Source organism: Homo sapiens, chromosome 9 (genome assembly GCF_000001405.40).
Source record: "Homo sapiens chromosome 9, GRCh38.p14 Primary Assembly".
Lineage (NCBI taxonomy): Eukaryota > Metazoa > Chordata > Mammalia > Primates > Hominidae > Homo > Homo sapiens.
The window spans coordinates 38,018,814-38,046,673 of NC_000009.12; the positions used below are offsets into that span (position 1 = coordinate 38,018,814).

General features: G+C 51.1%; 1 protein-coding gene across 1 annotated transcript in view, besides 11 other annotated features; it reads right to left on the reverse strand.

Moving 5' to 3' along the window:
• Positions 1–27,860, reverse strand: part of SHB (SH2 domain containing adaptor protein B) — a 153,330-nt gene that overhangs the window by 102,916 nt on the left and 22,554 nt on the right. The window lies entirely within an intron of this gene.
• Positions 199–493: an enhancer, noted in NCBI's record as "tiled region #2787; HepG2 Activating DNase matched - State 5:Enh, and K562 Activating DNase unmatched - State 5:Enh". NCBI's record gives its function as "activates a minimal TATA promoter and a strong SV40 promoter by Sharpr-MPRA in HepG2 and K562 cells {active_cell/tissue: HepG2 | K562}" and the evidence as "EXISTENCE:reporter gene assay evidence [ECO:0000049][PMID:27701403]".
• Positions 2,653–3,162: an enhancer, noted in NCBI's record as "H3K27ac-H3K4me1 hESC enhancer chr9:38021463-38021972 (GRCh37/hg19 assembly coordinates)". NCBI's record gives its function as "activates a minimal SCP1, AML or CMV promoter by ChIP-STARR-seq in naive and primed H9 embryonic stem cells {active_cell/tissue: H9 hESC(naive and primed)}" and the evidence as "EXISTENCE:reporter gene assay evidence [ECO:0000049][PMID:30033119]".
• Positions 7,235–7,743: an enhancer, noted in NCBI's record as "H3K27ac-H3K4me1 hESC enhancer chr9:38026045-38026553 (GRCh37/hg19 assembly coordinates)". NCBI's record gives its function as "activates a minimal SCP1, AML or CMV promoter by ChIP-STARR-seq in naive H9 embryonic stem cells {active_cell/tissue: H9 hESC(naive)}" and the evidence as "EXISTENCE:reporter gene assay evidence [ECO:0000049][PMID:30033119]".
• Positions 7,744–8,253: an enhancer, noted in NCBI's record as "H3K27ac-H3K4me1 hESC enhancer chr9:38026554-38027063 (GRCh37/hg19 assembly coordinates)". NCBI's record gives its function as "activates a minimal SCP1, AML or CMV promoter by ChIP-STARR-seq in naive H9 embryonic stem cells {active_cell/tissue: H9 hESC(naive)}" and the evidence as "EXISTENCE:reporter gene assay evidence [ECO:0000049][PMID:30033119]".
• Positions 8,254–8,762: an enhancer, noted in NCBI's record as "H3K27ac-H3K4me1 hESC enhancer chr9:38027064-38027572 (GRCh37/hg19 assembly coordinates)". NCBI's record gives its function as "activates a minimal SCP1, AML or CMV promoter by ChIP-STARR-seq in primed H9 embryonic stem cells {active_cell/tissue: H9 hESC(primed)}" and the evidence as "EXISTENCE:reporter gene assay evidence [ECO:0000049][PMID:30033119]".
• Positions 8,763–9,271: an enhancer, noted in NCBI's record as "H3K27ac-H3K4me1 hESC enhancer chr9:38027573-38028081 (GRCh37/hg19 assembly coordinates)". NCBI's record gives its function as "activates a minimal SCP1, AML or CMV promoter by ChIP-STARR-seq in naive H9 embryonic stem cells {active_cell/tissue: H9 hESC(naive)}" and the evidence as "EXISTENCE:reporter gene assay evidence [ECO:0000049][PMID:30033119]".
• Positions 9,983–10,152: a silencer, noted in NCBI's record as "fragment chr9:38028793-38028962 (GRCh37/hg19 assembly coordinates)". NCBI's record gives its function as "represses an EF-1alpha promoter that drives an FKBP-Casp9 reporter gene in an ReSE screen in K562 erythroleukemia cells {active_cell/tissue: K562}" and the evidence as "EXISTENCE:reporter gene assay evidence [ECO:0000049][PMID:32094911]".
• Positions 11,329–11,828: an enhancer, noted in NCBI's record as "H3K4me1 hESC enhancer chr9:38030139-38030638 (GRCh37/hg19 assembly coordinates)". NCBI's record gives its function as "activates a minimal SCP1, AML or CMV promoter by ChIP-STARR-seq in primed H9 embryonic stem cells {active_cell/tissue: H9 hESC(primed)}" and the evidence as "EXISTENCE:reporter gene assay evidence [ECO:0000049][PMID:30033119]".
• Positions 13,259–13,760: an enhancer, noted in NCBI's record as "H3K4me1 hESC enhancer chr9:38032069-38032570 (GRCh37/hg19 assembly coordinates)". NCBI's record gives its function as "activates a minimal SCP1, AML or CMV promoter by ChIP-STARR-seq in primed H9 embryonic stem cells {active_cell/tissue: H9 hESC(primed)}" and the evidence as "EXISTENCE:reporter gene assay evidence [ECO:0000049][PMID:30033119]".
• Positions 19,001–19,606: an enhancer, noted in NCBI's record as "H3K27ac-H3K4me1 hESC enhancer chr9:38037811-38038416 (GRCh37/hg19 assembly coordinates)". NCBI's record gives its function as "activates a minimal SCP1, AML or CMV promoter by ChIP-STARR-seq in naive H9 embryonic stem cells {active_cell/tissue: H9 hESC(naive)}" and the evidence as "EXISTENCE:reporter gene assay evidence [ECO:0000049][PMID:30033119]".
• Positions 19,885–21,289: an enhancer, noted in NCBI's record as "VISTA enhancer hs2062". NCBI's record gives its function as "enhancer in: heart[6/9]" and the evidence as "EXISTENCE:transgenic organism evidence [ECO:0001131][PMID:17130149]".

Here is a 27,860-nt window from a genome sequence, read left to right on the forward strand (position 1 = left end):
TCCAAGCTGCCTGGGGCTCACCGCCAGTCCAGATGGCCATGCAGAAGGTTTGTGTGAAGCGTGCTGCTTTTTTGAGCTAAAAGAAAGAGAATGAGTTTTCTCCAGATGTGAGATTGGATTTCTGACGGGATTGCTTTTGCTTTGCTTTAAAACTTCCCAGTTAGTGGACAACTCCTGTATATCTAATTGAACAATTCAACCAAAAGGGAGCCAGCCGGGACTCCTCTGCAGGCCAGGCCACCTGGGTCCACAAGAAGCTTTCCTTTTAGTCTCAGATTGGCAGAGACCTGGCAGCCACAGAGGCAGAGCTGAGCAGTAGCAGAAAAAAAGGCTGTAGAGTGCGGCTGCTTAGTCAGTGAGCCACGTCATCTTTTGTTTGCTCGGCCTCTTGGGATGAGTGCTAAACCCCAGGCAAGCACCTTTCTTGCTTTCAGACAAAACTACAGACCCCAGGTCAGCCCAAAGCCCCTACAGGGCTTCCACAGGTTTGTCCTCCTGGAGACCTGCTCTGACCTCCCCTTGTTTTCCACAGGGCCCACTGCAGGGCGTTGTCAGTCACCTAGCAAACCAGCAGTGGCCTGGGGATGGCCTCTCCATGCCTCCTCTCTGGAACGCACACTGCTGGGGCCCCTGTGTTTTTATCTTAGAAACTTCACTTTGTGATAGGAAGTAGTCTGCAGCTGTTCATCCCAAAGGAAAGGACTAGAGGAAGGTGGGTGTTGCCCCTTGGCCACACTTCCCTATGGACTGGTCAGAGTTTTAGTTGCTTTTGTGGGACAGCTGCACTTGTGAGCAGAATTGGGTCCTCTCCACATGCTTTCAGTGGAAATGCACTTGGGTGGAGACACTTACAAGGGTAACTTTGGGCAGAATCCATTAAAATCCCCAAATGCGCCAAGTTTGACCCAGCAATTTTACTTCTCAGTATTTATTCCCAAATGTGCATAAGGGTCCATGGGAAGGATGCTGCCTGAAGTAATCATGAGAAACCACCCGAAACTACTGCATCCATCAATAGAGGAATCGCTAAATAAACTGTGCTAGTTCCATACGATGTAACATTATGCAGCAGGCTGAAAAAAAAAATTTAAAAAAAGCAGTTGCTCTGTGTGAGCTGGCACAGCACTCCATGACATAGCTCTGAATGGAAAGCAAGCAAGCTGTAGAATGATAACTACAACATCATACCTACTTAATGAAAAACAAAACAGAAACCTGTATCTCTATTAAGTTAAAGAAAGGGTCTGGGAGATGCACACTCCAAACTGACCCCTCTTTGGGAAGGAGGGAAGGACTTGGAATGGGGTGCTTAGGGGAAGTCAAAAGAGACCTTCTCTGCAATGTTAAAACATTTTCAAACAAGGAGAACCTATTCATGTACTATGTGCAAAACTAAACTTGCTTAAAAGCACTCCTCTTCCACAGGCTATTTTTGGTACAGTAGACAGAATGTTTCCCAAACTTGCCTGAAGACAGGAATGGCTTGGAACGCTTGTTAAGGAAACAGATTCCTAGCCCCAATAATCTGTATTTTAACAAGCAAGCCAGGTGATCCTTATCAGGAAAGCTTGGGAAACAATAAGCTAGAGCCAGCACCCTTCCCCACCAGTCTAGAGACAAGCCTCCAGATATTACTCTGGAATTGTACTTTTCCCAGGTATTGCTCAGCCCTGTTCGTTGAAGTGAAGCAAGAAGTTTGTGCTAACATGCAGCTCTTTTGTTTTCTTCCCTGGTGGTCAACTGGAGAAAAAGAGGACCCGACGTGCCATCTCCAGGATCTAAGACATGGAGGAAATGGTAACCCCTCTGCAATCATGTGGGCTGGCTCCAGATTGAGCAATTCGGCCTGTGCAGGGGGAGAGGGCTACCAAAATCTCACAAATCACCACTAAAGAACTTAGTCATGTAACCAAACACCACCTGTTCTCCAATAACCTATGAAAATAAAAATTTAAATAAATTTAAAAAAAGACTTCTGCCCTGTCACCACCCTGAAAGTGACGGGGTGGGGGGGTGGCCCAACAGGGATCCTAGCCCCGAGGATCTTGCAAGGCAAGGCTTTCTGTTTGAAACCCACAGCAGCTTTCAGGCCAAGGCCAATTTACTCTCAGCAAACTCGTTCTAGGAAGATCACCCGGCTACAGGAAGGGCTGGTGGCACTTCAGAAGAGGAGCCACTGCAGAAATGCAAAGGGAATCTCTGCTGAAATTGCTCAAACCTGCTAAAAAGAATGATGAGGCATGTCCGGGCTTAGTGGCTCACATCTGTAATCCCAGCATTTTGGGAGGCCGAGGCGGGCGGATTACCTGAGGTCAGCAGTTCGAGACCAGCCCGACCAACGTGGAGAAACCCAGTCTCTCCTAAAAACACAAAAAAATTAGCTGGGCCTGGTGGTGCATGCCTGTAATCCCAGCTACTTGGGAGGCTGAGGCAGGAGAATCACTTGAACCCGGGAGGTGGAGGTTGTGGTGAGCCGAGATCGCGCCATTGCACTCCAGCCTGGGCAGTAAGAGCGAAACTCTGTCTCAAAAAATAAAAATAAAATAAAAAAGAATGATGAGGCTGGGCACGGTGGCTCACACCTGTAGTCCCAGCACTTTGGGAGGCCGAGGTGGGCAGATAACCTGAGGTCAGATAACCCTGAGTTCAAGACCAAGCCTATCCAACATATAGTGAAACTCTGTCTCTATTAAAAAATACAAAAATTAGCTGGGCGTGGTGGTGCATGCCTGCAGTCCCAGCTACTTGGGAAGCTGAGGCAGAAGAATTGCTTGAACCCAGGAGGCGGAGGTTGCAGTTAGCTGAGATCGTGCCACTGCACTCCAGCCTGGGTGACACAGCGAGACTCTGTCTCAAAAGAAAAAAAAAAAAAGAATGATGAGAGAGGCAGACTGGCTGCTGTCTTCCAGGATCGAGTGGCCCACACTGTCCCTATTGCCCCATGGTCACCTTCATGTGCCCTGCTGTCTGTGGGACAGCACAGGCCTGTGTCACACACCACACTGCATTTTTAGACAGGTGAATAATGAGTGTTGAATTATGATGCAGTCAGCACGTCGCATCTGCACATCCGCCACCCTGCTAAGGCAAAGGAGAGAGTGTCTTGCTGGCTGAAGGGTCTCTGTGCTGCTCTCCTCTCCCCGGAAAGTGAGGGGGCAGCACCCCACAAGGCCCCTGATTCTTGCCAGGCCCTTGACTTCTGCTCTATGCCAAAGCAAACCGCATATGAATGCACTTGAGAATGTTCTCAATGCTCCCAGTCAGACCATTTTCTCACTGATTCACCTTTAAGACTATACATTAATTTCCTTAACAGTTTGGGGGCCACTAATCTCTTAGAGAATATGATCATTGATGAAGTTGTGCCTCCCCTCATCACATTACATACACCCACAGAGTGTTGTTGAGCACATCATAGGAAGGTCATGAAGCAAGCCCCCCTGTCTAGGGCCACAGTAATGAACAGTGAAAACAAGACACTCTCTCCTTTACCTTAGCAAGGCAGCAGGTGCACAGATGCGACGCGTCGACTGCATCGTAATTCAACACTCATTATTCACCTGGCTAAAAATGCGGTTTGGTGTGTGACACAGGCCTGTCATTGACTGTGAGAGGGTCACTCTGAGAGAATGATGGCCTGGGGCTCTTTGTCTTGGCTTGCCGGGAGCCCTGGCCCTCTCCCCAGCTCTGAGGGTCAGGAGGGCTCCTTGAAGGTGAGCAAATAGCATTTGGGGACGTGAGGCGGCAGCAGCAGCACAAGTGCCTCTGTCCCCGCTCCGAGGCCTGAAGTCCCAGTCCTCCTTTGGGACCCCCCCATAACACAGGCCCTAGCGGGCCTGATGTCCACAGGAAGGAGGCTCTGTTGCCATGCCAACAAAGATGACATTACAGAAACAGAGATTTGGGGGTCTGGAGAGGGCTTCAAATAATGATGAGGCCGCTCAGAGAAGCGGTAGTGGACAGATGTTCTGTGCAGACCCAGAAGCCATACAGACACAAGCCAGGTGATTCAGGAAAGACATCGACAGCCAGTAAAGGAACACGCTGCCTGGGAAAGGGAGCTCCTGCTGCGTGGGGTGTCCAAACAGAGGCTCTAAGATGGGCTTCTGCTTTGGGGGGAAGGTCAGCTGGCTGGATGCCACACTCAGTATCTTTCTAGTGCACATACAGTGCAAAGCCCAGACTCAACTTGGACGTAGAGGTCTGAGCTGCCCCAAGCAGAGCCCTGGCTTTAAGGACTGGCTAAGTGGGTTGCAGAACCCCTGCCATGGCGGAGGCAGGCAGCATTTCCAAAGTCCCAAGGCTGACCGGTGGCAGCTGGGCTGCAGCAGCTGCCCGAGGCTATGTAAATATACAGAAAGGCAGCTGGCAGTGCAGAAAGGATGCCGCCAGGCAGGGACAGTCCAGGCAAGTGGAGCTCTGGAACTGGTTCTGCTACACCCTTGCTGGGTAACTCCGTGCAACCTGTTTTCTCTGAGTTTCGGCAGGTCACCTGTGAAGTGGAGCAGGGTGGTTTGCCTTCTCAGCTTCACATAAACGTTGTAAGGAGCAAATAATCAGATGATCCAAGGATGTGTCAGTAATTTATAAAGAAAAGGCCGTGTCCTTGTTACAGAGCAGATGGCACCTCCAGGATGAAGGTAAGTGCGGTGAGGGGCAAAAGCACTTTCAGGCAGGGTCTCTGCCCACGAGAAGATGAAAATCTGGTAGGGAAGACAGGACAAAGACGTGAAAAGAAACCCCCGCCAAGGCCCCGGTGATTACCAGGGAAAATGGGTACAATTATGCATGACAACAGCTGTCCTATTTCTCAAACACAAAAAGGAAAATGTTTGTGAATGCCCTTTTTTCCCCCCTTTCCTGCTTTGGGTAAGATTCATGCCCTAGTTGGGGCACCTGGCAAAGTGGTGGAGAACCTCTCATAACTCTCGAGGCACTTCCGCCTGTGTGCTGGGAGACAGAAGTGTGACTTGCCTATGGCCAGCATCCAGGGCCCTGAGGGGTCCACAGCACCAGGCTGTTACACCACTCAGGGATATGGGACACCCATGCAGGTACACACACAAGCGCCCCCTACTCGCCTCTTCCTGTCCTCAGCTTTGACTATCATCATAGACCAACTCTCCTTATAGGCACGCCAATAAATCACTGCTGACATGGTAAGGAAATTAATTTAGGGAAGATTAATTAGCTACATTCATGCACTCAGCTGCAACTGCTGGAAATCAGACGGTGGGGAGGTTGGTTTTCCACTCCATTTAGGATTGGTTTGCTTTCTACCTTCTAAGATCTGGCTTGCCTCAAAGTTCAAAGCCCCCTCTTGCATCATGAAGGCCCCTGCCAAGTACTCCGCCCACATGCCTTCAGGGGCAGGGAGCTCATGATGTGGCAACACAGTCCTCTGGGACGGCCATCACCACTAAAGTGTCTTCCCTACACTGAGCTGAAATCTGTCTCCCAGCAGCCACTATCCGTTTTTCTACTGACCTAAGGTGTTCTGTCCTAAATGCTCCTTTACAGACCTGACAGTGACCTGCCCCACATGTCAGGAGGCTGGGAGTGTGGGGGGTTAAAGTGGTCACCACTGGTCTTTCCAGTCCTGCCCCTCCCACGGCCACAGCTGCTTGCCTAGACACCTGCAGGCTCCGACTTGTTAGGAAAAACACATTCCAAATTCCAGCCTCTGTCAGCTCCTCTCAAGCCTGCTTGCTCAGCCTCTCTCTCTCCGTCACACACACACACAGCCCACTGTCTTCCAGCTTCACCCCCTCAGAGTGAGCTGTGGGTCCTGGGTAGGAGGCTGCTGGGAACAGAGCCTGGCTCCACCCTCTGTTTACCCCAGAACCTCAAGTGGTAGAGACAGGCTTTTCAGCATCTCTCAAGTAGTGGGAGGTTCTATTTTGAACTCAGAAATACCTCAATCCTAGAATTTCTTAAGTGCTTTCAGCCAGGGACTATGGATAGAAAATCCAGCACATCCCTCCTGAGGACAAAAACACCCGGGGAGGGGTCTGCAGCCACTACTGAAAGGATCCCTGGGGGATGGTCTATTCTGCTAGATCTCAAACTCTTGTGTGTGCATGATTTCTGCAAAGGGAATCTTACACATGCACCACTGAAGAAAGTGACACCATGCATAGTTTGAAAACCATTTATCCACTGGGGACAGAAGGCTGTGAGTGGGGATGAACTTAGTAAAGTTAATGCCAGGACCAGGTAACCCAACCCATGTTTCCAAACTCCCAGGTCCACACGATTTCTTCAATGCCTATACCACTAACTTTCCTCTTAAAATCATCTTTAAAAATGTCAGAGTATAATCACCACAACTGCCTCACAGAAGAACCCCCCTACCTCCCCTTACAAGGACCAACCACCCATCGCTGTGGACAGCTCTCTGTGGGAGGTGGGCTCCGGGCCAGGCTGGGTCCCCATGGAGCCACTGACTTAGCCGCCCCTCATTCTCCCCTCAACTCCTACTTGGCTCTGCTCAGCTCTCCTGCAGACTCCATCAACCTCTGTCCACCTTGCCAGACAGCCCTTCCTCTCAGGCTTCCTGCTCTAGGGGGTACGAGTGCTCCCCTAGGGGCCTGAGGCGACACTTACCAGGGACAGGGAAAATGGGCCTGAGAAGGGTATCAGGAAAGCTGGTTACTAAGCCAGCTCTCAGACCAGCCCTGGTCGCGAAGAGTAAGAGCAAGATTTTCTTCTCCTTTCTCCTTCGGAGCTGAAGGCTGGAAGGGTAAGGGGAAGGTACTAGTTAAGCTCAGGGTCACAGGTGCCGGATGGTTCCACAAATCATTTAGCCCTCTGCTCTCACCCTCCTCATCTGTGAAATGAGGATGGGGCAAGGCCTACCTGAGCCAACGCACATGGTGTATTCGGAACAGGGTGGTGCACAGCAAGTGCTCAGTGTCAGGTGTGATCACCATCAGCTCAACACACCATCCAGCCTGCAGAGTCTGGGTCTTGCCCAGGGTCACCTGGACATCAGAAATCCAGACTATCCCCCTCCCCATGTTGATGAGGAGCCACCAGAGGCTCCAAGTAACAAATGACACAGCAGAACACTCCTGAGCGGGTGACAGAACTAGACTCCCATCAAATCCCAACCAGGAGAGGACCTATGTCATCTGTTGAACTACATATTTACAGAGTGCCTCCCAAACTGGTTTTAGACAGCTTAATTCGAGGCATTTTTCTGCTTCTGATAGGCACAGCCTGTTGGTCCCCCACCCCCTTCCCAAGGAAGGATCAGGAATGCCCGTGAGGCTTTCTCACGGTAACGTAAGGCTCTGTACAGTAAGAATAACTTCCAGTGTGCTCACAGGAAAAGTATGTAAAAGCAAAACAGCAGCGCCTGTGAGCCAAAGGCCTTTCCTGTGCAATGTGGTACCTTTCAAAGCCAGGCCTCTGTGCCCCAGCCAAGGCCCGGGAGTCACCAAGTGCACCCTCTCTCTCGTGTGTGCTTCCTGTGCTAGAAGCCAAGGTTAAAGGGGAGAAAGAGCTCAGGCCTGGAGGAGCACGAGATCGGGCCAGCACAGTGCCTTTTAATGATCAGCTGCAGAGGCGCGGGAACCCGCACTAAGTGAAGGATCATTTCTCCCCGAACGGGACCCATTAGGATGACTCATGCACATTTCCCACAGGGGAGCTAAAAGGCTGGGCCAGGCCCCTTTAAGGCACAAGCAGCACTAAACAGCTGCTCTCCCCAAGAGTCACTCTCTCTTTATTGAGGATAGGCAGCATCAGCCACAATTACCAGCCCCATGTTTGAGGGCTCCCAATTACATTCCGCTTAACACCAGGTGCTCCATAAATGCTGATTCACTTTTTAAAATAATGCTGTATCCTCCAGCAACCAAGCCTTGATGAACTCTTTCTCCTGTGCCGTCATCTAGGCTGGGAAACCCTGAACCTCACAGGCCTGTTTCTCACATGTACTCGGCGCTTTCTAATGTACAGGAAACTTAGGGTGGCTAGGGCTTTGCGATGTCAAGCAGGTCTGTGATGGTGTTTATCGCTGTTCAGTCCGATCACCTCGTGCCTCCACGTGCCAGGCAATGGGCTCTGTGCTGGGGATACAGAGGAGAGGAAAGGCAGGCCTCCTCCCCCTGCTCTTGCATTGCTTCCAGGTCCCCAGGGGAGATGGGCATTATTCAGTTCACCTCCCCAAGGCAGGCTGGCATGTGCCAGGCAGGGTGAGTAAATGCCTGGGTGAAGGGCCCTTCCCACCCTGCCCTGAATTGCAGCTATGTGTAGGCCTGTCTGCTTCCGCTCCACCAGGAAGGCAGGTTCTGGAGCTCTGTTTCCTTTTTATTACAATATAGCACCTGGTGCACAGCAGGGTCCCAGCAAGGTGTGCTGGGCTGAAACCAGGGGCAGGGCAGGGCAGGGCCTCCAGGGTGGTGGATTCCGGGCCCTGAGCTCCAATGCTTCCAAATTTCTCACCAGCTATGGAGCTCTACTTTCTCTAAGCCTGAGCCCTCCCACTTTCACTGGGAAAACATCTTCCTTCTGCGGTGCAGGAGAAGCTGAGTCAATGAACCAAGGGATACATAGTGCCTGTCACATTATGCTGGCATAGGCAAGGGCACAAGGGCACTAGAGAACACAGAAAAGATGCTGCTCTTATCCTCTAGAGGCCACAGGCCATGCCTTTTAGTCTGGGGAACCCAGACACAGACCTTGAAGCAGGCACTAAAATGCAAGTGGTTGATCTGGGAGGAGACACTTACCGGGGACAGGGAAAATGGGCCTGAGAAGGGTATCAGGAAAGCTGGGTTACAAAGCCAGCTACCCATGGTGGGCAACTAGATGGAGCATGATCTGACAGAGGAAACTCTGGGAAACCATGCACAACCCACCCCTCAGAATTACCTTACCAAGAGTGAGGGAGCTGGGGGTCAGGCACCAACTCCTGGGAGCTCCTGGTGTAGGCAGAGCGGCTGTTCCCATTCCTATGTTCTAGAAAAGCCCTCGGGCACAGAGATGTGGATGAGCCAGTTGGAGAAGGCCAGACTGGGGAGGCAGAAGGGACAGGGTGGGTCTTGACAGCATCTGCTGCCCAGGGCAGGGGGTGCCTCCTGGAGAGGGATGGAGCTGAGCCAAGAGGTCTCTTCTGGTGCGTTTACCCAGCTGAAGCAATGGTACTGTGCGGGGCTCCCATCTGCTTGGCTCCTACCCCGGATCTCACACCCCATCTCCCACCTAGGGTTTGAAGCAGATAATGGCTTTGCAAATGCATTGGAGACTGCGCAGAATCACAGGAGTCCCCAGAAGCCACCCTCCCTAGTGCAGGCTGCCTCCCCTCCCAAAGCCCAAGTATCATTTTCTCCTGGTCTAGGGCCCTGTCCCAGAGACTAAGCAGGCACCTCCCCGAGGAAGCACATGGACAAAACCAAATGGGGACCCTATGGGCCTCTTTAGATCCTGCAACATCAATCAGCCTGGCAGCTTCAAGGAGGGCCCAGAGCTGTTGTGCCAATAATGGACGGGCTCATGCACCCTGTGATACCTATGAAGGCCTCAGGGGCAAGTCCATGTGGGCCAGGCCATAGTCCCTCACGACTGGCTAGTGGTAAATCAGAACACCACGGTGTGCCCATTTCATCACCCTGCAGCTGGGGTGCTGGAAACCCAGGCTTGCTCACAACCCCACACACAGAGAAGCAAGCCACCCTCAGTGATACCCTTCCTGACTGCCTCTAAAACCAATCTCCTCCTTTGTGCAAACAAATATGGCTCAGGCCACACCAGAATTGCGAAGAGGAACTCCAGCCAGAAGGCCTGTGGCACCTCTAACCCGGCAAGGCCAGCTCCAGCGCAGGCTGAGTTAGCTGAGGAGACATACTAACAGCCAGTGAAAGAAGTTAAGGAGTCTATTTATTCATTAAAACAAAATCCTTTCTGGCATCTCAGCAATTGACAAAATCAGGTCTCAAAACAGTACTTATAAAAGGATTCCATTTTTCTAAAATATAACATCAAAGAAATGTGTTTATATCCATAGAAAAAGGACCAGAAAGAAATGAAATACAGCACACAGATGCATGCTCTCTGCCTCCCTGGTCACCTGCCATTCCACGGGGTGGTAGGGTGAGGGTGAGGGGGCACCTTGCCTGCTGCTCCTCTGTGATCAAGCCCTCCAGGGCCAGGGCATGGACAAGTGGATACAGGACCACCGAGCTTCCCAGGCCCAGGGAACCCTCCTTGCTCCTGGAGCTTTCCCTTCATGGCCCTGGACCCCTTACTGCATCCTAGCCAGAAGCCTATTTGTAAACATGTAAATGATTCTAGTCCACCACAGCCTTTGCCTTGAAATCTCCACCAGGCCCAAAGCTTTCAACACCAAGTGGTCCAATCAACTCTGCCCAGCCCCAGCCTGGCATAAAGGGGTGTGAGTAAATGCTGGGGGAGTCAATGAGCAAATTAATCTACAGAGGGTCTATGGGGCCATTTCTCTCCAGGGCAAAGCCAGAAGTCCTACCAATAAGGGACAATTCATACAACAGTATAGACAAGCAAGGTTTTACTCAAGTGCTTGCCCATTTTCTGGCTGCATGACTTTGGGCAACTTACATGACATACTTGATCTCTCTGTGCTTCCATTTCCTCATTTATAAAATGAGAATAATACCAAGACCTACCCTCATGGGGTTGCTATGAGATTTTTTTTTTTAATTTGTTTATTTTTTAGATGGAATCTCGCTCTGTTGCCCAGGGTGAAGTGCAATGGCGTGATCTAGGCTCACTGCAACCTCCATCCCCTGGTTCAAGCAATTCTCTCACCTCTGCCTCCCGAGTAGCTGGGATTACAGGCACACGCCACCACGTCCAGCTAATCTTTGTATTTTTAGTACAGACAGGGTTTCACCATGTTGGCCAGGCTGCTCTCGAACTCCTGACCTCAAGTGATACGCCTGCCTCAGCCTCCAAAAGTGCTGGGATTACAGGTGTGAGCCACCACACCCGGCCTGCTATGAGATTTAAATGAGTTAGTATTTGTCAAATGCTTAGACCAATATGCATGGTAAGCACTGCTGAAGTATTTGATAAATAAGTAAATGTGTACACATTTGCACAGCATCTGCCCCTGCACCTAGATGTACACGTGCATGCGTGTACACAAGCAAGTATGCCCACACTCCCATATGCTTCAGCACAACAGCATGCATTGCAACTGGTTTTCTCCACATCACTGCGAGATGGATGTGGGTGTACTCTCACAGCCAGTGGGGAAAGGGAGAAGGGCTGCAGTCTGCCCTAAACCACAAAGTCCAGTGAGGGCATGACCAGCAGCTGTGGCCAATGGAACCAGCTATCTGGCTGGACCCAGCTATCACACCAGCTGCTGCTCCCAGTCAGAGAGCAACTGCCCACCCAACCAAGCCCACACAGGTCTGGCCTGGGGCAGGGGACCCCAGATCCATTAGTCCTGGACCATGTACAACTTCCCCCCTCAGAGATGTTGAGCCCCCAGAGCGCACACTCTGTAGACGACACAGCAAAATGAGCCCAGATAAACACCACCTGCCCACCTCTTTCCTCCAGGTATATAAGAGGCCTCACTGCTGCGATTCCTCCCACTTGCTGCTTTCTCTAACCTCAAGCTTCCTCACAAAGGGCTGCAGAGAGCAGAGGAAATGCTCTAAGTCAGGCATAACGGGGATTTTAAGAGGCCGGGCCCAATGCACTTTATTTCTGGGGTTAAGAACATTAGGTTCTTATTTTTAAATGCCAGTATATCAGGGACTGATGTTTATAGTTTCCAGGGCTAGCTTCACAGGTGAGTGGCCTGTGCAGTCGCAAAAGGCCCCTGCACTTGGTTTAACAGCCTGCCATCACCATTTGGAAATTCTTAATAATTTTTAAATGAGGGGCCTCACATTCTTATTTTTTGTGGGATGGGCCCTGCAAATTATGTAGCTGATCGTGATGACCCCTCCCCAAACACCAACATCCAGAAGTTTCCATGGGGAGCTTGAGGCCCAGACTGTAATCCCCTCCTCTTGCCAGCAGGGCACCATTAGCTAAGTCATTCTATCAGCTCCTCAATTTCCCCATCTGTAGAATGGGTAGAGTGGGTTGTTAGGGCCAGAATCCTGGATTTCATGGACTACTATACAAAAAAATTATACAAAAAAAAAAGGGGGGAAAGACAAGATCACGCACACTAAAAGAACCCAACCGCCATCTGTCTTCACCCACATTTTATGAAGGAAAGGGCTGGGCATGGTGGCTCATGCCTTTAACCCCAGCACTTTGGGAAGCCAAGGTGGGAGCATCACGAGGTCAGGAGATAGAGACCATCATGGCCAACCATGGTGAAACCCCGTCTCTACTAAAAATACAAAAATTAGCTGGGCGTGGTGGTGTGTGCTTGTAATCCCAGCTACTTGGGAGACTGAGGCAGGAGAATCGCTTGAACCCGGGAGGCAGAGGTTGCAGTGAGCCGAGATCTCGCCACTGCACTCTAGCCTGGTGACAGAGCGAGAGACTATGTCTCAAAAAACAAAACAAAACAAAATCAAACGAAAAAAGATAAAGACAATAACAATTTAACAGTAAAAAGGTAAAAAGGAAATTGAGAATAAAGCATAGTCCTTTAAGGTGAGTAAGTTTAGCTTCATAAGAAACCCCTAACCGTCCATTTTTCTAATTTCATTGGAGATCACCATGCTTTCTAGGGAAGCATTACCCCAGGTGAGTGTTTCAGTCCTTTTAGTATTACTTTAGAAACCAAGCCTTCCTATGATGTCAATGGTCTGGTGTGCATGTTATTGCTTAAGAGCACTGACTTTTCCAGACCCTCTTCCCACCCTGTGTCCCTTCCGCTTTAAGGGGACATCTGAGACCATCACGGGAGCTGGTTTCCATGAAACACCAACACAGCACTTGACAACGGCTGTATGAATCGGGCCCAGAATGGCCCTTATTTATTAATGCACATTGTAAAATCTCCTTCCAAATGCAAAGTCATAAATCACCTGCCACTGGAAACATTCTATCCTGAAAGGGAGGCAAAGGTATCTTGAACTGAATCCCAGACTTACCCATTTCAAAAGAGCAAACTTTGATCCACTGCTGATGAGTAAATCAAGGGGAGGCAGGCCCCTTGCTGATAACTTGGCTATCACAAGACACCTCAACCTACCACCCAGCTTTCTCTCTTCACCCACTTCTCTGTGAAGACCTGGGACCGGGCAGGACTCATGGGGGCTGAGTCCCAGAGCCTGGGATCCTCCAGTGCCAGGGCCCGAGAACCTCGGACCAGACCCTCCAAGCGCCTGAGTGTTCTAGAGGACTAGAACAGGCAGGAGGCTAAGGGACGATGCTTACAGAGGGGGCACCGCCTAGAGAGCACCTTCTCTACAAGCCAGGCTCTTGGCTCTGTGCTTTCACGTACATCATCGTATTTCATCCTTCCTAATCACCTCATTTTCAGATGAGAAAACCGAAGCTCAGAAATGTCTAGGAACCCTGCCAAGGCCTCAGAGCACAGAAGGCTACGCAGGTTTCAACCCAGGCCAGCGTCACCCCAAAGCTCTGGCTCTCCTGGGCTACCTACAGCCTGTTGTATGAGTTTCTAAGTCCAGGCTCCTTCTGGGCAACAGGAAGAGATCTCTGAAGGGAAGTTTGACAGGAAGAAGCAGCAGCTTTGCCAGCTTGGCTCAGTTGCGCCAACCGTGAGCAAAGGCCACCTGACAACTCCCTTAAGTCAGCTGAGTGCTGGAAGTCTCCCTTCCCCTTCCTCAGCTGCCCTGTGACTCCGGCACACCTGCAACCTGCCCTGCCCGGGCCACACCTGGGGAAGCAGTGCTTCCGCCTGCAGCCTTTGAAGCCTGGCTTCCAGCTCTCCTCTCCCTCCACCCTGTACCAGCCGTATCCCTCCTGCCTGGGGGATCCTACTTCCCCACATACCAAAGCCAGTGCAGCGTGGCACAGTCCTTGTCTTCAAGTTACACAGAATGAGCACCAGCGTTGTTTTGAAGTTGTCCCCATGGAGAGGCCCCGGACCCCAACACCAAACCTCTGCACATGGAAGCATACCCGTGCCAGGCAGAGGAGGGAATGACAGCCAGAAGGAAAACCTGCTTCTCTAGAAAGAGTGAGCCCTGGTACTGGGCCCAGTATGCACTAAGTACTAAGTGCTAAAATATGCTGGCTGTTGTTATTTTCAAACATGACTGTAAAGAAAACCTGATTTTTCTCATCAGAACCAGCAAGAAAATGGAATTTTATGGTAGAAGTGGTTCCATTTTCATCTGGTTAGGGTGAGACCAGCTGAATTAGAAAACCAAGCATCCACAATGCAGTGAGGACTGGACGATCTAAGGAGATGAGGCGGCCCTCAGGGTCAGCATGGTTAGCCTGCAATCACCCTCAAAGCAGGTGCTGGCTCCAATGGGGCATCTGGGAATAATTTAAAGCCTATGCTTTCCTAAGATAAAAGTGAGCACCCCATCACCTCTATGGGTGCCCCATGATCATGCCCATTTATCAGGGATAACACCAGTGACTGGGGCCAGCCAATTCGGGGAGGGGGCCCTTCCAACCCACAGATCCCAGAAAAATGTACTCCTTGGAGACATTTAAACCAATACCCCAGCTGGTGCGGTGGCTCATGCTGGTAGAATTTGGGAAGATCACTTGAGCCCGCGAGTTCGAGACCAGCCTGGACAATATAGGGAGACCCTGCCTCCACAAAAAATAAAAATTAAAATTAATCCAATGCCCTAGTTGACCAATCATTTCGGAAGGGCTTGGAGAGGGTCCACCTGAGTGGTCTCGTTACACTCCCCCTCCCCATATTTTTGTTATGCCCATCCTCTGATCAGTGGGCAACAGGATAAAACAGGTGGTCCCGAGTTTCCCATCTATCCTGGGTCCCACAACTAGAGCTGTTGCAGCCCCAGCCTCTCCATAACTCTCAGTCTTATGGACTGGCTCACGCAGGCCTGCTTGGTGAGTAAGGCAGGAAAGGCCCTCAAAGCTGTCCACAGCCTTTCCTACCCAGGAAAAAACTGCTGTAAAATCCTGACACCCCCCCAGCACCACCTCCTGGATTTAAGAAGGGGGAGGTGGCTTGGGTTTTAAAAAGAAAATTGGATTCCCATTCATGAATTACCCACACCGAGGGCACTTAACAGGTGAAACGGGTTCTGCCATTGATGAATGAGCTCGGGTAATAACGGGGCTCACCCTTCGCCATTAAAAATATTAACCTCATTCCTGGCCCAGCGATGTCATAAACCCAGGGCCCCTGAAGCTCTCTCTCATGGCCACACTTCCCATCTGCCTGGTGAGGGAGTTCAATGTGCACCTCTCACCCTGCGGGCAAGCCCTTTGGGAAGTGTACTAACGCCCCTCATAAAACCAACTGCAGGTAGACAGGAGGAAGAAATAATGTAATAACTTGCCACCTGTATGCAAGAATTCAGAGGCCTCCACTGCCTGGGACCTTTACTAAAGTGATGCAGTGCTCATGTGGTCTAACACAGCTTCCCACAGCCAACCTGACCACAGGCTGCAAGGACAGTGATAATGATGTTATGATCCACCATGAGAGAGGAGACTGTCTCCCTCTACTCTGTACAACCAAAGGACCAATGGAGAATCACGTCCAGCTCTTTGGGAGGTCCCCTGTGGCAGGGAGCTCACTACCTCCCCAAATACTCTGTTATACTTTGAATAGCTCTGTCTGATCATTCTTCCTGAAATTGAGTTGAAATCTTTTTGAGAACTTCTACTGGTTGGTTCTCATTCTGTCCTCTGATCCCACAGAACACGCCTGCATCCTGTGCCAGGGGTTGACCACTGTCTTGCATGCCCCCAACAGATACCCCTGAATCTTCTCTAGTACTTCATGTTTTTGGTTTGTTCATTTGTTTGTTTTATTGAGACGCAGTCTCGCTCTGCCACCCAGGCTGGAGTGCAGTGGTGCGATCTCAGCTCACTGCAACCTCTGCCTCCCGGGTTCAAGTGATTCTCCTGCCTCAGCCTCCAGAGTAGCTGGGATTACAGGTGTGCACCACCATGCCTGGCTATTTTTTGTATTTTTAGCAGAGATGGTGTTTCACCATGTTGGTCAGGCTGGTCTAGAACTCCTGGCCTCAGGTGATCTGCCCACCTCGGCCTCCCAAAGTGCTGGGATTACAGGCATGAGCCACCCCATCCGGCCTGGGCCTTGTACTTTAATTAAGGAGCGGTCACCAGGATGATAAAGAGCCCAGACTCTCCCCCACGTCTCATGGGCATAATTGAAGGGACCGAGGGGTATCTACTAGAGAAGATTCAGGGGTATCTGTTGGGGGCATGCAAGACAGTGGTCAACCCCTGGCACAGGATGCAGGCGTGTTCTGTGGGATCAGAGAACAGAATGAGAACCAACCAGTAGAAGTTCTCAAAAAGATTTCAACTCAATTTCAGGAAGAATGATCAGACAGAGCTATTCAAAGTATAACAGAGTATTTGGGGAGGTAGTGAGCTCCCTGTCACAGGGGACCTCCAAGCAGAAGCGGGTTGAGCACTTGGCAAGGAGGACCTAGACTGAGATCCTTTGCCACTAGAAACTCTATAGTCCTCCTGAGATTTTTATGGTACCCTGAAGCATAGGACTGGGGATAGGGGAGCCAGTGTTGAAGGGGTTGCTCCAACCTTATAAAACTGCATCCCTCCCTCTCACTTTCACAGGCTGCTCAGTGAGAGAGGTTCTCCACCTCTTTCCCCAGTGGCATGTGAAAGGTTGGGTGCCATGGGAGAAGCACAGAATCACATCCTGAAGTTCAGCAATGCCCACGGTGGGGTAGGTCTTGGGGACAGAAGGACAAAGCTCAGTCAGTGTCTACCTTCCATGAGTGGATAATCTAGGGAGAGGTCAGCAACCCTCTCCTGTAAATTACCATATAGAAAATATTTTAGGTTCCTGAGGGTCATACAGTACTCCTGGTTTAGTCCAGTGATTCTCAACATAGCTGCACATCAGAAAAACTCCTGGGGAGCTTTTACAATGCACCATGCCTAAGTTTGGCCCCCAGAAATTCTGATTTAAGTGGCCCAAGGTGGGGCCTGGGATTAGTATTTCTAAAAGCTCCCCTAGGAGCTTGGATACAATCCATCCAAGACTGAGAATCACTCTCTGGTCTCCAGCAGAAACAGGCGCGTGCAAAACCTCAGCATTATCCCCAGTGATTTCCCAAACCCAGCGAGGGGAAGTGACTCGCTCAAGGTCATACAGTGAGTCAAGAGGCAAAGAATCTGAGCCCAAGATCTTCTCCCTGCAGCACCCAGGCACAGACAGGCCCAAACTCCTGTTCCAGAGCTTGGGATACCAGGCCTTCTTGCTCAAGCCCTGCTGCCCCATAAGGTGAAGACCCCAGAGAAACACCAGCCACATTCGCCCCGACCCACTCTAACGCATGGGGCACTGCCCTCTCTCCAGACCAAACCTCAACGAGGTAGAACTAACAGGGGAATGAATTTCTAAAACAGCCACATTTTAACCAAAATTGCTAACAGTTTATTAGCATCTGGGAGGAACAAAAGTTAGGGCTGTAAAAACTGTATTTCTTCAGTCCTAACAAGCGCAGCCACAGCAAACTCTTTACCAATGACACCACTAAAGACTTGCCAAAACGTGCCGCCTGCCTAGAGCTCTGCCCACGCAGGACTTGGGCACAAGGAACCCCCAGAGCCCTTGGGAATGTTGCAAGAGCTTGGCTGAGGCTGGGTGGCCACTGGCGGCGATGATCTCAACGTCTACAGAGCAAATGAGCTCCGAAAGACAGGGCAGACCCAGGCATCCCCCGCCTAGCAGGAGCTCTGCTAGTGGAGATAACTGGAGAGTCTCTGAGCCCCAGACTCTCTGGGGTTCTCTCCATTGAGCCACAGGACAGTGAGGGACTTGAGAGAGCAAGGATGGGAGAAGCTGAATAATAATACAAGAAATACTGAGAGCAGCTACCAGGGACTATGCTCAGTTCTTTTAATACAACATCCCTATGGATTTGATTCTCATATTGTCCCCATTTTACAGATGAAAAAAACCAAGGCATGGGGTGGCTGGATAACATGTCCAAGGTCACCAAAGCAGTTAAGTTGCAGAGCCCTGACTCAAACTCGGGTGCTGTCTCTTAATCTTATGCTCAACAGACTTAGAAGTGACTCTACTATGAAACTCCTCCCTGCAGAGACAGCAAAATAGACCCAGAGAGAGCAAGGGACTGGTGCAGGACCCCGCAGCACGGGAGCTGGGGTAAAAGCAGTTCTGTGTACTGCCCTGTAGACAGCCTGGCTTTGGGCCCTACTAGGCTGACACAACTCCCTCTTTTCCCGGAGAAGAATCCTGCGATCTCCTTATGACACAACAGTGGGCTCAAACAAGAGAACTGGAGAAAGAGATGGCACACAGGGCTCTTGTCTGTAGTCTGTGTAAAGTACCAATTGCTGGAGTACTCCGTGTCATTTGGAAACTTCCTATCTTACCTCCATATAGGCCCATGGTCAACAGGGCTGTGAGCTTGTTTCCGACACCTGCCCCCACCACTGCCCGCTCCAGTCACACGCAGAGTCACCAGCCCCCAACTTCCCCAGGGGGTCTTCACTCATACTGTGCCCTTCTCTCTTCTCTGATCACTGCATGTTCAAATTCTATCTAACCTCCAATGCTCGGCACATGAGAACATGAGCTCTAGAGTGAAATGTGGGTTGAAATCCACACTGTGTCACCTTGAGAAGTTTGCTCAACCTCTCTGGGCCTCAGTTTCTTCACTATAAAGTGGGGATAGTAACAGAACCCACCTCAGTGCTTGGCAACAGGAGGGGCTCAACTGTGTGTCATTATCATCGATTCAGCCCCCATGTACCATTCTGAGAACCCCACCTCCGCTAGAAGTGAGCCTCTCTCCTCTGAGCCCTGAAGTTCTGTCTGCTCCTCCATTCAGCCTCCCTGGGCTGACCTTGGGGCAGATCCTGTGCTGGGCTCTGGAACATAGAGCAGAAGGAGTGGTCCTTCCTGCAGGAGACACAGGCTCATTGGGGGATAGCCACAGGCTCACAAATAGGCATGACACAAGGTGGCTGGGCTAGAAGAGGAGCTAAAAAGTGACATTTCACATTCTGTCACACTCTAACAAGATTTTTTTTAAAATCTGGCTCTCTTCCTACTGACTAAAAGTGGTTTAACTAACTCCTAACACATTGTCTAAGAGTTTTTAAAAGTCAGGCCAAACTCTATTTGGAGAACTCCAAACAGCACCCAGAATCTTCCCCTAACCCTGCTTTATAGCTTGGGTCTGGCTGTCCGGCTCTGCCCTCCCCATCCTACGCCCCATGCATGTGTGCCCCAGCCCAGCCATTCCATGCAGGCCAGAGCTCAGCAGCACACAACAGGCTGGGCGCACAGGCACCAGGCGTGGTCAGGTCAGGCGTGGGGGACCTCCAGACTTAAGAGCACCACAAGGCAGGCCCTGTTCTATCACAAAAGCAATGGACCTGGGAGCCCCAGGAACCAACACTCTCCACGTGTGCACTGCACTTTGCGGTTCATAAAACACATCTGTGTCTGTCACTTCCCCTTCCCTAACACCCAGGGAGTCATCTTACCATGATTACTAAGAAGCCCCACCTCCACCCCAAACTGGAGACTCTGGGACAGGGCCTATGTTCACTTTATCTTTTTGGTCCCTGAGTCTAATGCAGGGCCTGGCACACAGTAAGGTACTGAGTAGATGAATAAATGTATTTTACAAATGAGGAAACTGGCTCAGAGAGATTAAGAAATGTGCTCAATGTCACACAGCAAAGGAAAGCAGCGGGTCTGCCTGACTCCCAGACTCCTTCCTGCCCCAGCCCAGTGCCTCCTTCCCCAGGACACAGGGATGCAGCCCACTCTGCTCCCTACTCGGGTCATGAGCCAGCCCCGCTTCCCAGGCCAACCAATGAGCTGCCTGGGCATCTAGGAGGCCCCGGGGGTGGGGCAGGGAGAAACTGGGTGTTGGGGAGTGACAGTGGGCAGGGGCCACCCCCCAGGGAGGTATCAAGGAGAAGTAGGGAAAGGCAGATGGAACCCCGGAGAGGGAGTGTGTGCCAAAGAGAACAAAGGCAGGAATGGAGCGGGTGGGATCAGGAGCCCGAGGAAGTGAGGAGATGGAAGTTTTTTGAGACAGACTGTCAGCCGTGAAGAAAAACATGTTTCTGAACTCCTGACGCTTATCGCTTATCAGGCAGGGCTGGCGGGCGGGCGTGACAGCCCAGGACACTACACTACAAAAAAGGGGTCGCCAGAGAACATTTTCTTCCCCGGAAAAATGTGGATAATACATAGCTGGAATGGTGAAAAGCATCCTTAAGATAAAGTGCCCTGTCAGATACTGCTGTCAGGCGTTAAGCCTCCAATGTTATCTCCAAACCAGACAAAAAAACCTAAAAACAAAAAACCACTTTTCTGATTAATCATTAAATCTAAACAAGAAGAAAACTGACAAAATGGGCTCTTTTGCAAAAAAGAGCATTTTGAATGATAAGCACAATTGAAAGCCTAAGGCAAGACTTTAAAGCGCAGTGGGAACTGCTTAGTCATTAGCCTGTATGTGCTGCTGCCACTTCAAGTTTGCAAGAAGTCTGCAAGATCCGAAGGGGGTCATGGCCCTGGGGCCAAGCACACCCATCCCACTTTGTGGCAAAGGAGTATGTGAATGAATGGATTCCAAGATTCTGGATTTTACTACCCTTGGCCCCTCCCTGTGGGCCCAGTCCCTGCCATCTACAGAGCAGAGGTTACAAAGCCACGACAAGGTCCCGTTGTAATCCTACTTCCTGAACAACCTCTTTAACTTGACCACACAAGGGCAGTAAAACACGTAGCAAAGGGGTCATCCGGAAACAGCCCTGATATAAGAAGTACCTCAGGGAAGCTCAGCTCCCTCATGAGTCCAGGCCAGGCTGGCCGGGCCCACCATCCCCTCCTGCCTCAGCGAGGGCAGCGGCTGGTCCAGTAGGCCACAGGCCTCTGGGGCAACTTGCAGCTGGAGCTCGAGGGGCGAGGGGAGAGGAGGAGAAATGGGCCTCTCGACAGGAGTCTGGCGGCCCATGCCCTGCCCTCCATGAATCCCTAGGCCCCAGTCTTATTTTAAGCCAGAACCCAGGATTTGGGTTCTGAAACTGCATTCTAGAGCTGCGCCCCAGGCGTGTTTACAGCCGCCTAATTCTTGTGGTGATTGTTTCTGGAGGATAAGCCTGGGGGTTTTTCCTCCTCAGAAATTAGTACACTACCTCAGGTCAGCCGGTCTTTCCCCATAGCCGCTATCTGCTGTGTGCAGGAAGGCGACTCCTTCCAAGGCTCAGAACTCACCGTCCATGGCAGCTGAACATTAGGTTCAGAGAAGCAGAGGGGGCACAACTCGATGGGGAAAGGCTGGGGTGTGGCCTCGACTGCGCCACTGGCTGGCCATGTGTGTGACCTTGGGCAAGTCTTGGCTGCCTCAAGGGTAAGACAGAGATGATGGTCCGCTGAGGGCTGTCGTGAGGAGGAAACCAGACCACGGTGGGAAGCTGCCACATGAATGCCGGCCGTTATCCCTAAAGGGGGGGCTTGGGAAGGGAGGCCTCCCCAGACATGTGTCGGCACCCATGCAGTGCAGTGGAGGGACAGAGAGGGCACAGGGTCAGCCAGAGCTCCGCTGCTCTGCTCAAGTGAAGAGCTACCCCTGTCCCCAGCCACTGCATGCCATACCACCAACAGCAAGCGAGTGGGCGGGCAGGCAGACAGGCAGGTAGTGCTGGAGTGGCTGGGAGGGCTTCCTGGAGGAGGTGGCGGTCTTTCCTGGGCTCAGGCAGGGGTATCAGCAATAGGGCACACTACGGTGGGGGGGCTGCAAGTGAGGAAAGTGGCAGTCAAGAGACCAGTTTACAACGTTGCAGAGTTTGTGGGGAGGTATAGAGCAAAATGAAGAAAAGGAGTTTGGGGATAGATTTTGAGGGCTCTAGATGCTAAAGTCTTTGGGGCTTTGCCATAAATGGAGGAAGCATGAAAGTATTGGAGCAGAGGTGTGATGTGCACTCTGGAAGATGAGTGGCAAGGGAGGGTGCGGGGTGGGGTTAGGTGGGAATAAAGCCACACTGGGGACACGTGGCAGGGCTGGGGTGGAAGATACTGCCCCAGGGACGCTTAGAGTTAACTTCCACAGGACTGTGCACCTGGTGGGACTCAAGCAGAGAAGGTCTGAGGACATTTGTCCTTACCGAAGTCCTCTTCTCCAGGCTAACAAGCCACAGCTTAGTTTCTTCTGGGCAGGGATGGAGGGTCAAAAGTGGCCACCACCAAGTCCTTTTCTCTCTTTCTACACAAACTGAAACAAGCCTTTCCCCTTCATGCCTGATACCCAGAAAGCCCTTTTCCCTAATCAAGAGCCTGCATTTTACCTTTGCCCAGTAAAGGTTCTACCCCAGCTCCCTTCCCATAACCATGCACACGCACCGGTGAATCCACCAGTCAGGCGGGGGCTGTGTATGGGGAAGGGACTCAGACCTAAAGTGACCTTACCACTATGACATGAGATGGGCCAGGTAGTCACAAGCAAGGCCCAGGCATGACCTATGGGTATGGGGCAAGAGGGAGACTGCGTTGGGACAGAGTTTTGCCAACTAGCAGGATCTGAGGCAAACCTGCATTTGCTAGGCTGGATGGGTGATGGGAAGGAGAAGGGCATGCCTGCTTCAGAAATGGGCACAGGCAAGTGCAGAGGTATAAAACTTCGGTGAGTTCGGGGAAGAAAAGGGAGGTGGAGAAAACCTCATTGGGGGTGGTGGTGGGGTGGAGATTTGGATACCAGGTTAAAGCAACTCAACATTATTCCCAAAGGCAGTGGGAAGCCACTGGTGGTTCTGAGAAGTCGAGGAACTGGTTCAGGCTTATGCTTTGACAGGAGGGATGTGATCAGCTGCCCTCCACAAACAGGTCGTGACAGGGGCCGGTACTGAATGCCCGAAGCACAAGCAGAGGAGAGGTACAGTGCAAGCCTTCTGATTGCCAAAACGCAGCCGAAGTCGGCTCTCAAACATACTTTTTAAATAGTGCTTTGGGCCTTAGTGGAAACAACCTCATTCTCTACCTATTTCCTTTCTTGTTCTTCAATTTTCTCCCGAGTTTCTGAATATTAATCTCATGAGGAAGTCATTAGCTGGCGCTGCAGTCTGTTCTAATTATAAAGCACGCTAGGAGCACTGGGGCAGACGGGGGAAACGTGCCGACGTCTGGCTTCGCCCAGAAGGCATCAAGGTTTGGAGCGCAGGCCCTAGGGTGGGACTGCCACATCTGTCCTGTGCCGGGTCACCAAGTATGTTACTTAAACCCTCTGTGCCCCTGTCTCCTCATCAGGGTAACGAAAATACCTACCCACGAGTGTTGCTGCAACAAAGCAAGGCAGAGTTTAGCATGGTGCCCGGGACACAGTAAGAGCTCACTATGTACTAGTAGATCCAGAAATCACCCATCATCTTCAGTTATCGTTTAATTGCTAACCTCACCTCCAAACTGCACACATGCCCTTTAATTACTGAGGAGCAGTGTTGTGCGTAACACACTGGGTCCAGAGTGGGGAGGCCCCAGTCCCGCTCAGGTATTCACTGACTTCTGGGTGACCAAGAAGTTCACTTCTCCAACCCTAAAATGGGAAGGGGGAATCCCCAGTCTCTCTGCCTCCTGGGGCAGCTCAAAGCAAGCTGGAAAGTGCCGGTGCAGGGGTTAGCACTCTCTTGCCTCCACCTTCAGCTGGGTGTTTAAGAGGGGATCTACCTCCAAGGGAGTGACATTTCCACCATGCTCCTCTGTTGGCTTCCCTCGGAAATCACTTGTGACAGGCTCTTGGAAGGCTGGGCCAAGAAAGCAGCAGCCACAGCCAGAATAGCAGGGGCCCAATTCCAGCCTGGCCAAGCATGGGCTTTCCTGGGGCGACCTGGCCCAGCCTCGAAGTCGAATTCCTGTTAATTCTCACTATCCCCACCAAATGTCCGCCCCAGGCCAGGCCAGGCTCTGGGCTTTCCCAGACTCCCTGCAGTCACAGAGACTCCTCAGACCCATGACTACCCAGCTAAGTCTCTGGCCATGCTCTAGGAGCTGCTCAAACTCCCCCGGTCTGCCAGACCGCCCACAACCCCACCTGTTCCCACTCTGAGCTCCAGTCCTCTACCTTTCTCACCAGACCCAACTTGTCCTTGCCAAACTCCGTGCTTTTGGCCAAGCTGTGCTCTCTGCCTAGAGTACATTTCATTCTTCCCCTACCCAGTGTTCAAGCCCAGACCAAAACCACCTCCTCCAAGTAGCCTGCCCAGATTACTCTCCCAGAATCAATCCATCTGACACACTGCAACACCCTGTCTTGCTTTGCAGTGGAAGTCCTTGTGTCCAATGCTCTGCCCCCAGCTTCTCTCTGCCTATGCCACAGTGCCCTGTCCTGCATTCCCCACTGTGCCTATGCCTGGGGATATTACCTAGTAGACACATAGGGGACTGAACCAAAAACAAAGACAAAACAACAGCCTCCTTTGAACAGGATAACTGCTCCATGTACTTAGATTCTGGGGACTGACATCTTAACTGTGCATTTCCCTGTCTGAAAGCAGTGAGTTGCATCCTCCCTGAAAAAGTGATCACTGGAAGCACCGCTGTGAAGGCAGCCACCTTTAGATGGGAGAGAAACGCAAGGTGTCTGAGTCTGGGAACATGGAGCTGGAGGGGAGAGGTATCGAGGGTCAGTGGGGCTCCCCCTTCCCCTGCCATAGAAATCATCCACCCTGGCCGGGTGCAGTGGCTCACACCTGTAATCCCAGCACTTTGGGAGGCCGAGGCGGGGGGATCACCTGAGGTCGGGAGTTTGAGACCAGCCTGACCAACATGGAGAAACCCCATCTCTACTAAAAATACAAAACTAGCTGGGTGTGGTGGCACATGCCTGTAATCCCAGCTACTTGGGAGGCTGAGGCAGGAGAATGGCTTGAACCCGGGAGGTGGAGGTTGAGGTGAGCAGAGATTATGCCATTGCACTCCAGCCTGAGGAACAGGAGCAAAACTCCGTCTCAAAAAAAAAAAAAAATTAAGAAAAGAAACCATTCTCCCTGAACGCACTGGTGGCAGAGAAAGCTCAGGGCCAGGCCTCAATCCAGGGCCATGGCCCCTATGCTGGAACCAGCACACCAAGGTGTTGACCTGGAGAAGCGGGCATGCCCTGGTTCTGCCTGGCAGCCCACTCTAACCTGCCACTGCACATAAATTACAGGGAGGAGGCCGGTGGCCAACTGGCTTCAAGGCAGGCCCTGCCTCTCTCTAGCACAAGGAAGCGCTTTGTGCAGCCCAACACCTCATTATCTGGCAACTCAGTCACACCGGAAAGGGCAAATAATGGGGTGAGCGCGACACATGTTGTGCAGACGTCCCTCCCTGCACAAACCTGTCCTGGAGTCCCACTGCCTGTGGGCCAAAGGCTCAATTAACTCCTTAGTATGGTATTTGCAGCCCTTCAATCTGGCTGCAACAACTCTTTCCAGAAAAGTCTCTTTCTAATCTAATTCATTTATTCATCTATAAGACGTTTACTAAGCACCTACTATGTGCCAAGCATGATGCTGAAGGAGCTGAAGCACTCCTAAGGTCTCATGGGTCCTGAATCCTTTGCAGATCACACACAAGTCCCCAGCTAAAAGCTCTCCATAGAGGAGGTGGTAATTACTAACTGTTTTTAATCATCACTCCCACCTGCCACTGAGGAGAATCAAAGCTGCTCTTTCCAATGCCCACCACCACACCAAAAGGCAGGCAGCACAGGCCTGCATGAGGCCACTAGAAGCCTAAAATGTAGAGTCTTGGCTGCTCTGGAGGGCACTGGAGTTTGGAGGTTTTTTCCCTTGTTGGAGTTACTGGCAATTTGGGGACTATTGGGGTTTTACAGCATACTGGCTCTTCAATCAACCTCTCTGAGATCACTTATCTGACAAGCACTCCTGCATCCACTCTGGGGTCAGGCCCCGTGCAAGGTGCAGGGCTCTCACTGTGGCTCTCCAGGAGCCATGACATGGTGTGACTGCTTCCGCCAGAGGTGTGGACATGTGTACACAGAGGAGGGAGGGGTGGGAGGTCAGGAAGCCTCCCAAATGGCAGGACAGCTGAGCTGAACTTAAGAGGATGAGGAGGATAAAGGTGTGACACACAAGTGAAGACACAGAGGCATACAGGTGAGCCTTGCATCCTGGCACAAGGTCAGAGGTTCCCAGCTGGCTGTCATGGAAGGGATGGAGTAAAAAGAAGCCTTTCCAAGAGGTAAGGGTCAGCTGGAATGTCAAGCTATGAGTCTGGACATGATAGAAGCCATGGGTAGTGTCTAAATGATGACACGTCCAGACTCACTTTTGGAAGACAGAAGATAAAGGACAAATCAAAAGGGTCAAGACTACAGCCACATGGGATATCAGGTATGGAACTTTTCTTCTAGTAACATTTGTAAAAGCCACAACGACCAGGTGCGGTGGCTCACGCCTGTAATCCCAGCACTCTGGGAGGCTGAGGTGGGTGGATCACTTGAGGCCAGGAGTTCGAGACCAGCTTGGTCAACATGGTGAGACCCCCCCCACCCCCAAGTCTCTACTAAAAATATAAAAATTAGCCGATAGGTGGCGCGCACCTGTAATCCCAGCTACTCGGGAGGCTAAGGCAGGAGAATCTCTTGAATCTGGGAGGTAGAGGTCGCAGTGAGCCGGGATTGTGCCACTGCGCTTCAGCCTGGACAACAGAGTGAGACCCTGTCTCCAAAAAAAACAAAGCCACAACAATAAACAATTTGACAACATATCAATTTCCTACCACTTTGTAATGAACCTGACTATACAACGTGAGATCCTACACAGCACAACACAGGTACAATAAAAACGGTGCATTTTAAAAAGACGTATGTTTTTTGACATGAGAACGTGGGCAACTTCTGTGCAATGTAAAGATTGATTAAAGATCTTCTAGCGTGTCTAGGCCAGAGACAGCTTGAAAGAAACCAAGAGGGAGTGGGGTCAAAACAATCAGGTCAAAATGGGTATGTATAAAACACAGAGATTACAAGTTAACATGGGTCATGATTATGAAAAGAGGCACCAGGCACAGGTGGCTCACGCCTGTAATCCTAGCACTTTGGGAGGCAGAGGAGGGCGGATCACCTGAGGTCAGGAGTTCAAGACCAGCCTGGCCAACATGATGAAACCCTGTGTCTACTAAAAATACGAAAATTAGCCAGGCGTGGTGGTGTGTGCCTGTAATCCCAGCTATTCAGGAGGCTGAGGTGGGAGAATCGCTCAAAACCGGGAGGCGGAAGTTGCAGTGAGCCGAGATAAGAAAAAAAAAGAAAAGAGGCACCTAATGTTTTCAGCCAGGGTTGGGCAAAGCTTCACTTCTGTAAGTAAAGCATTGCTGAACGTGGCCAGGCCTGCTCATTTATATATTGTCTGTGGCTCCCTGAAGAAGTGAACAGAGGCAACAGAAACCGTGTTGCTGCAAAGCCTGAAATACTATTTGGCCCTTTACAGAAAAAGTTTGTGACCTCTGTGTTAGACACATAAGAATTGAATACAGGCAAACAAGAACAAGCAGTTGCCCTGAGGGCAATATACTGATGCTCGAAGCCCCCCCGGGTCCTCCTTCTCCGAGTAGGGCCCTCAGGAGACACCACATTCCTCTGAACATCTTGGGTGGTCAATCTTCCATACTCTGGAGTGGATTTAATTTCTAGAAACTGCCCACGGCTTTTCCAAACCAATTTAGGTGAAAAGGTGGGTGATCACGCCAAGCAATGAAACATACAAACTTGCCAGGGGCAGGACGCAAG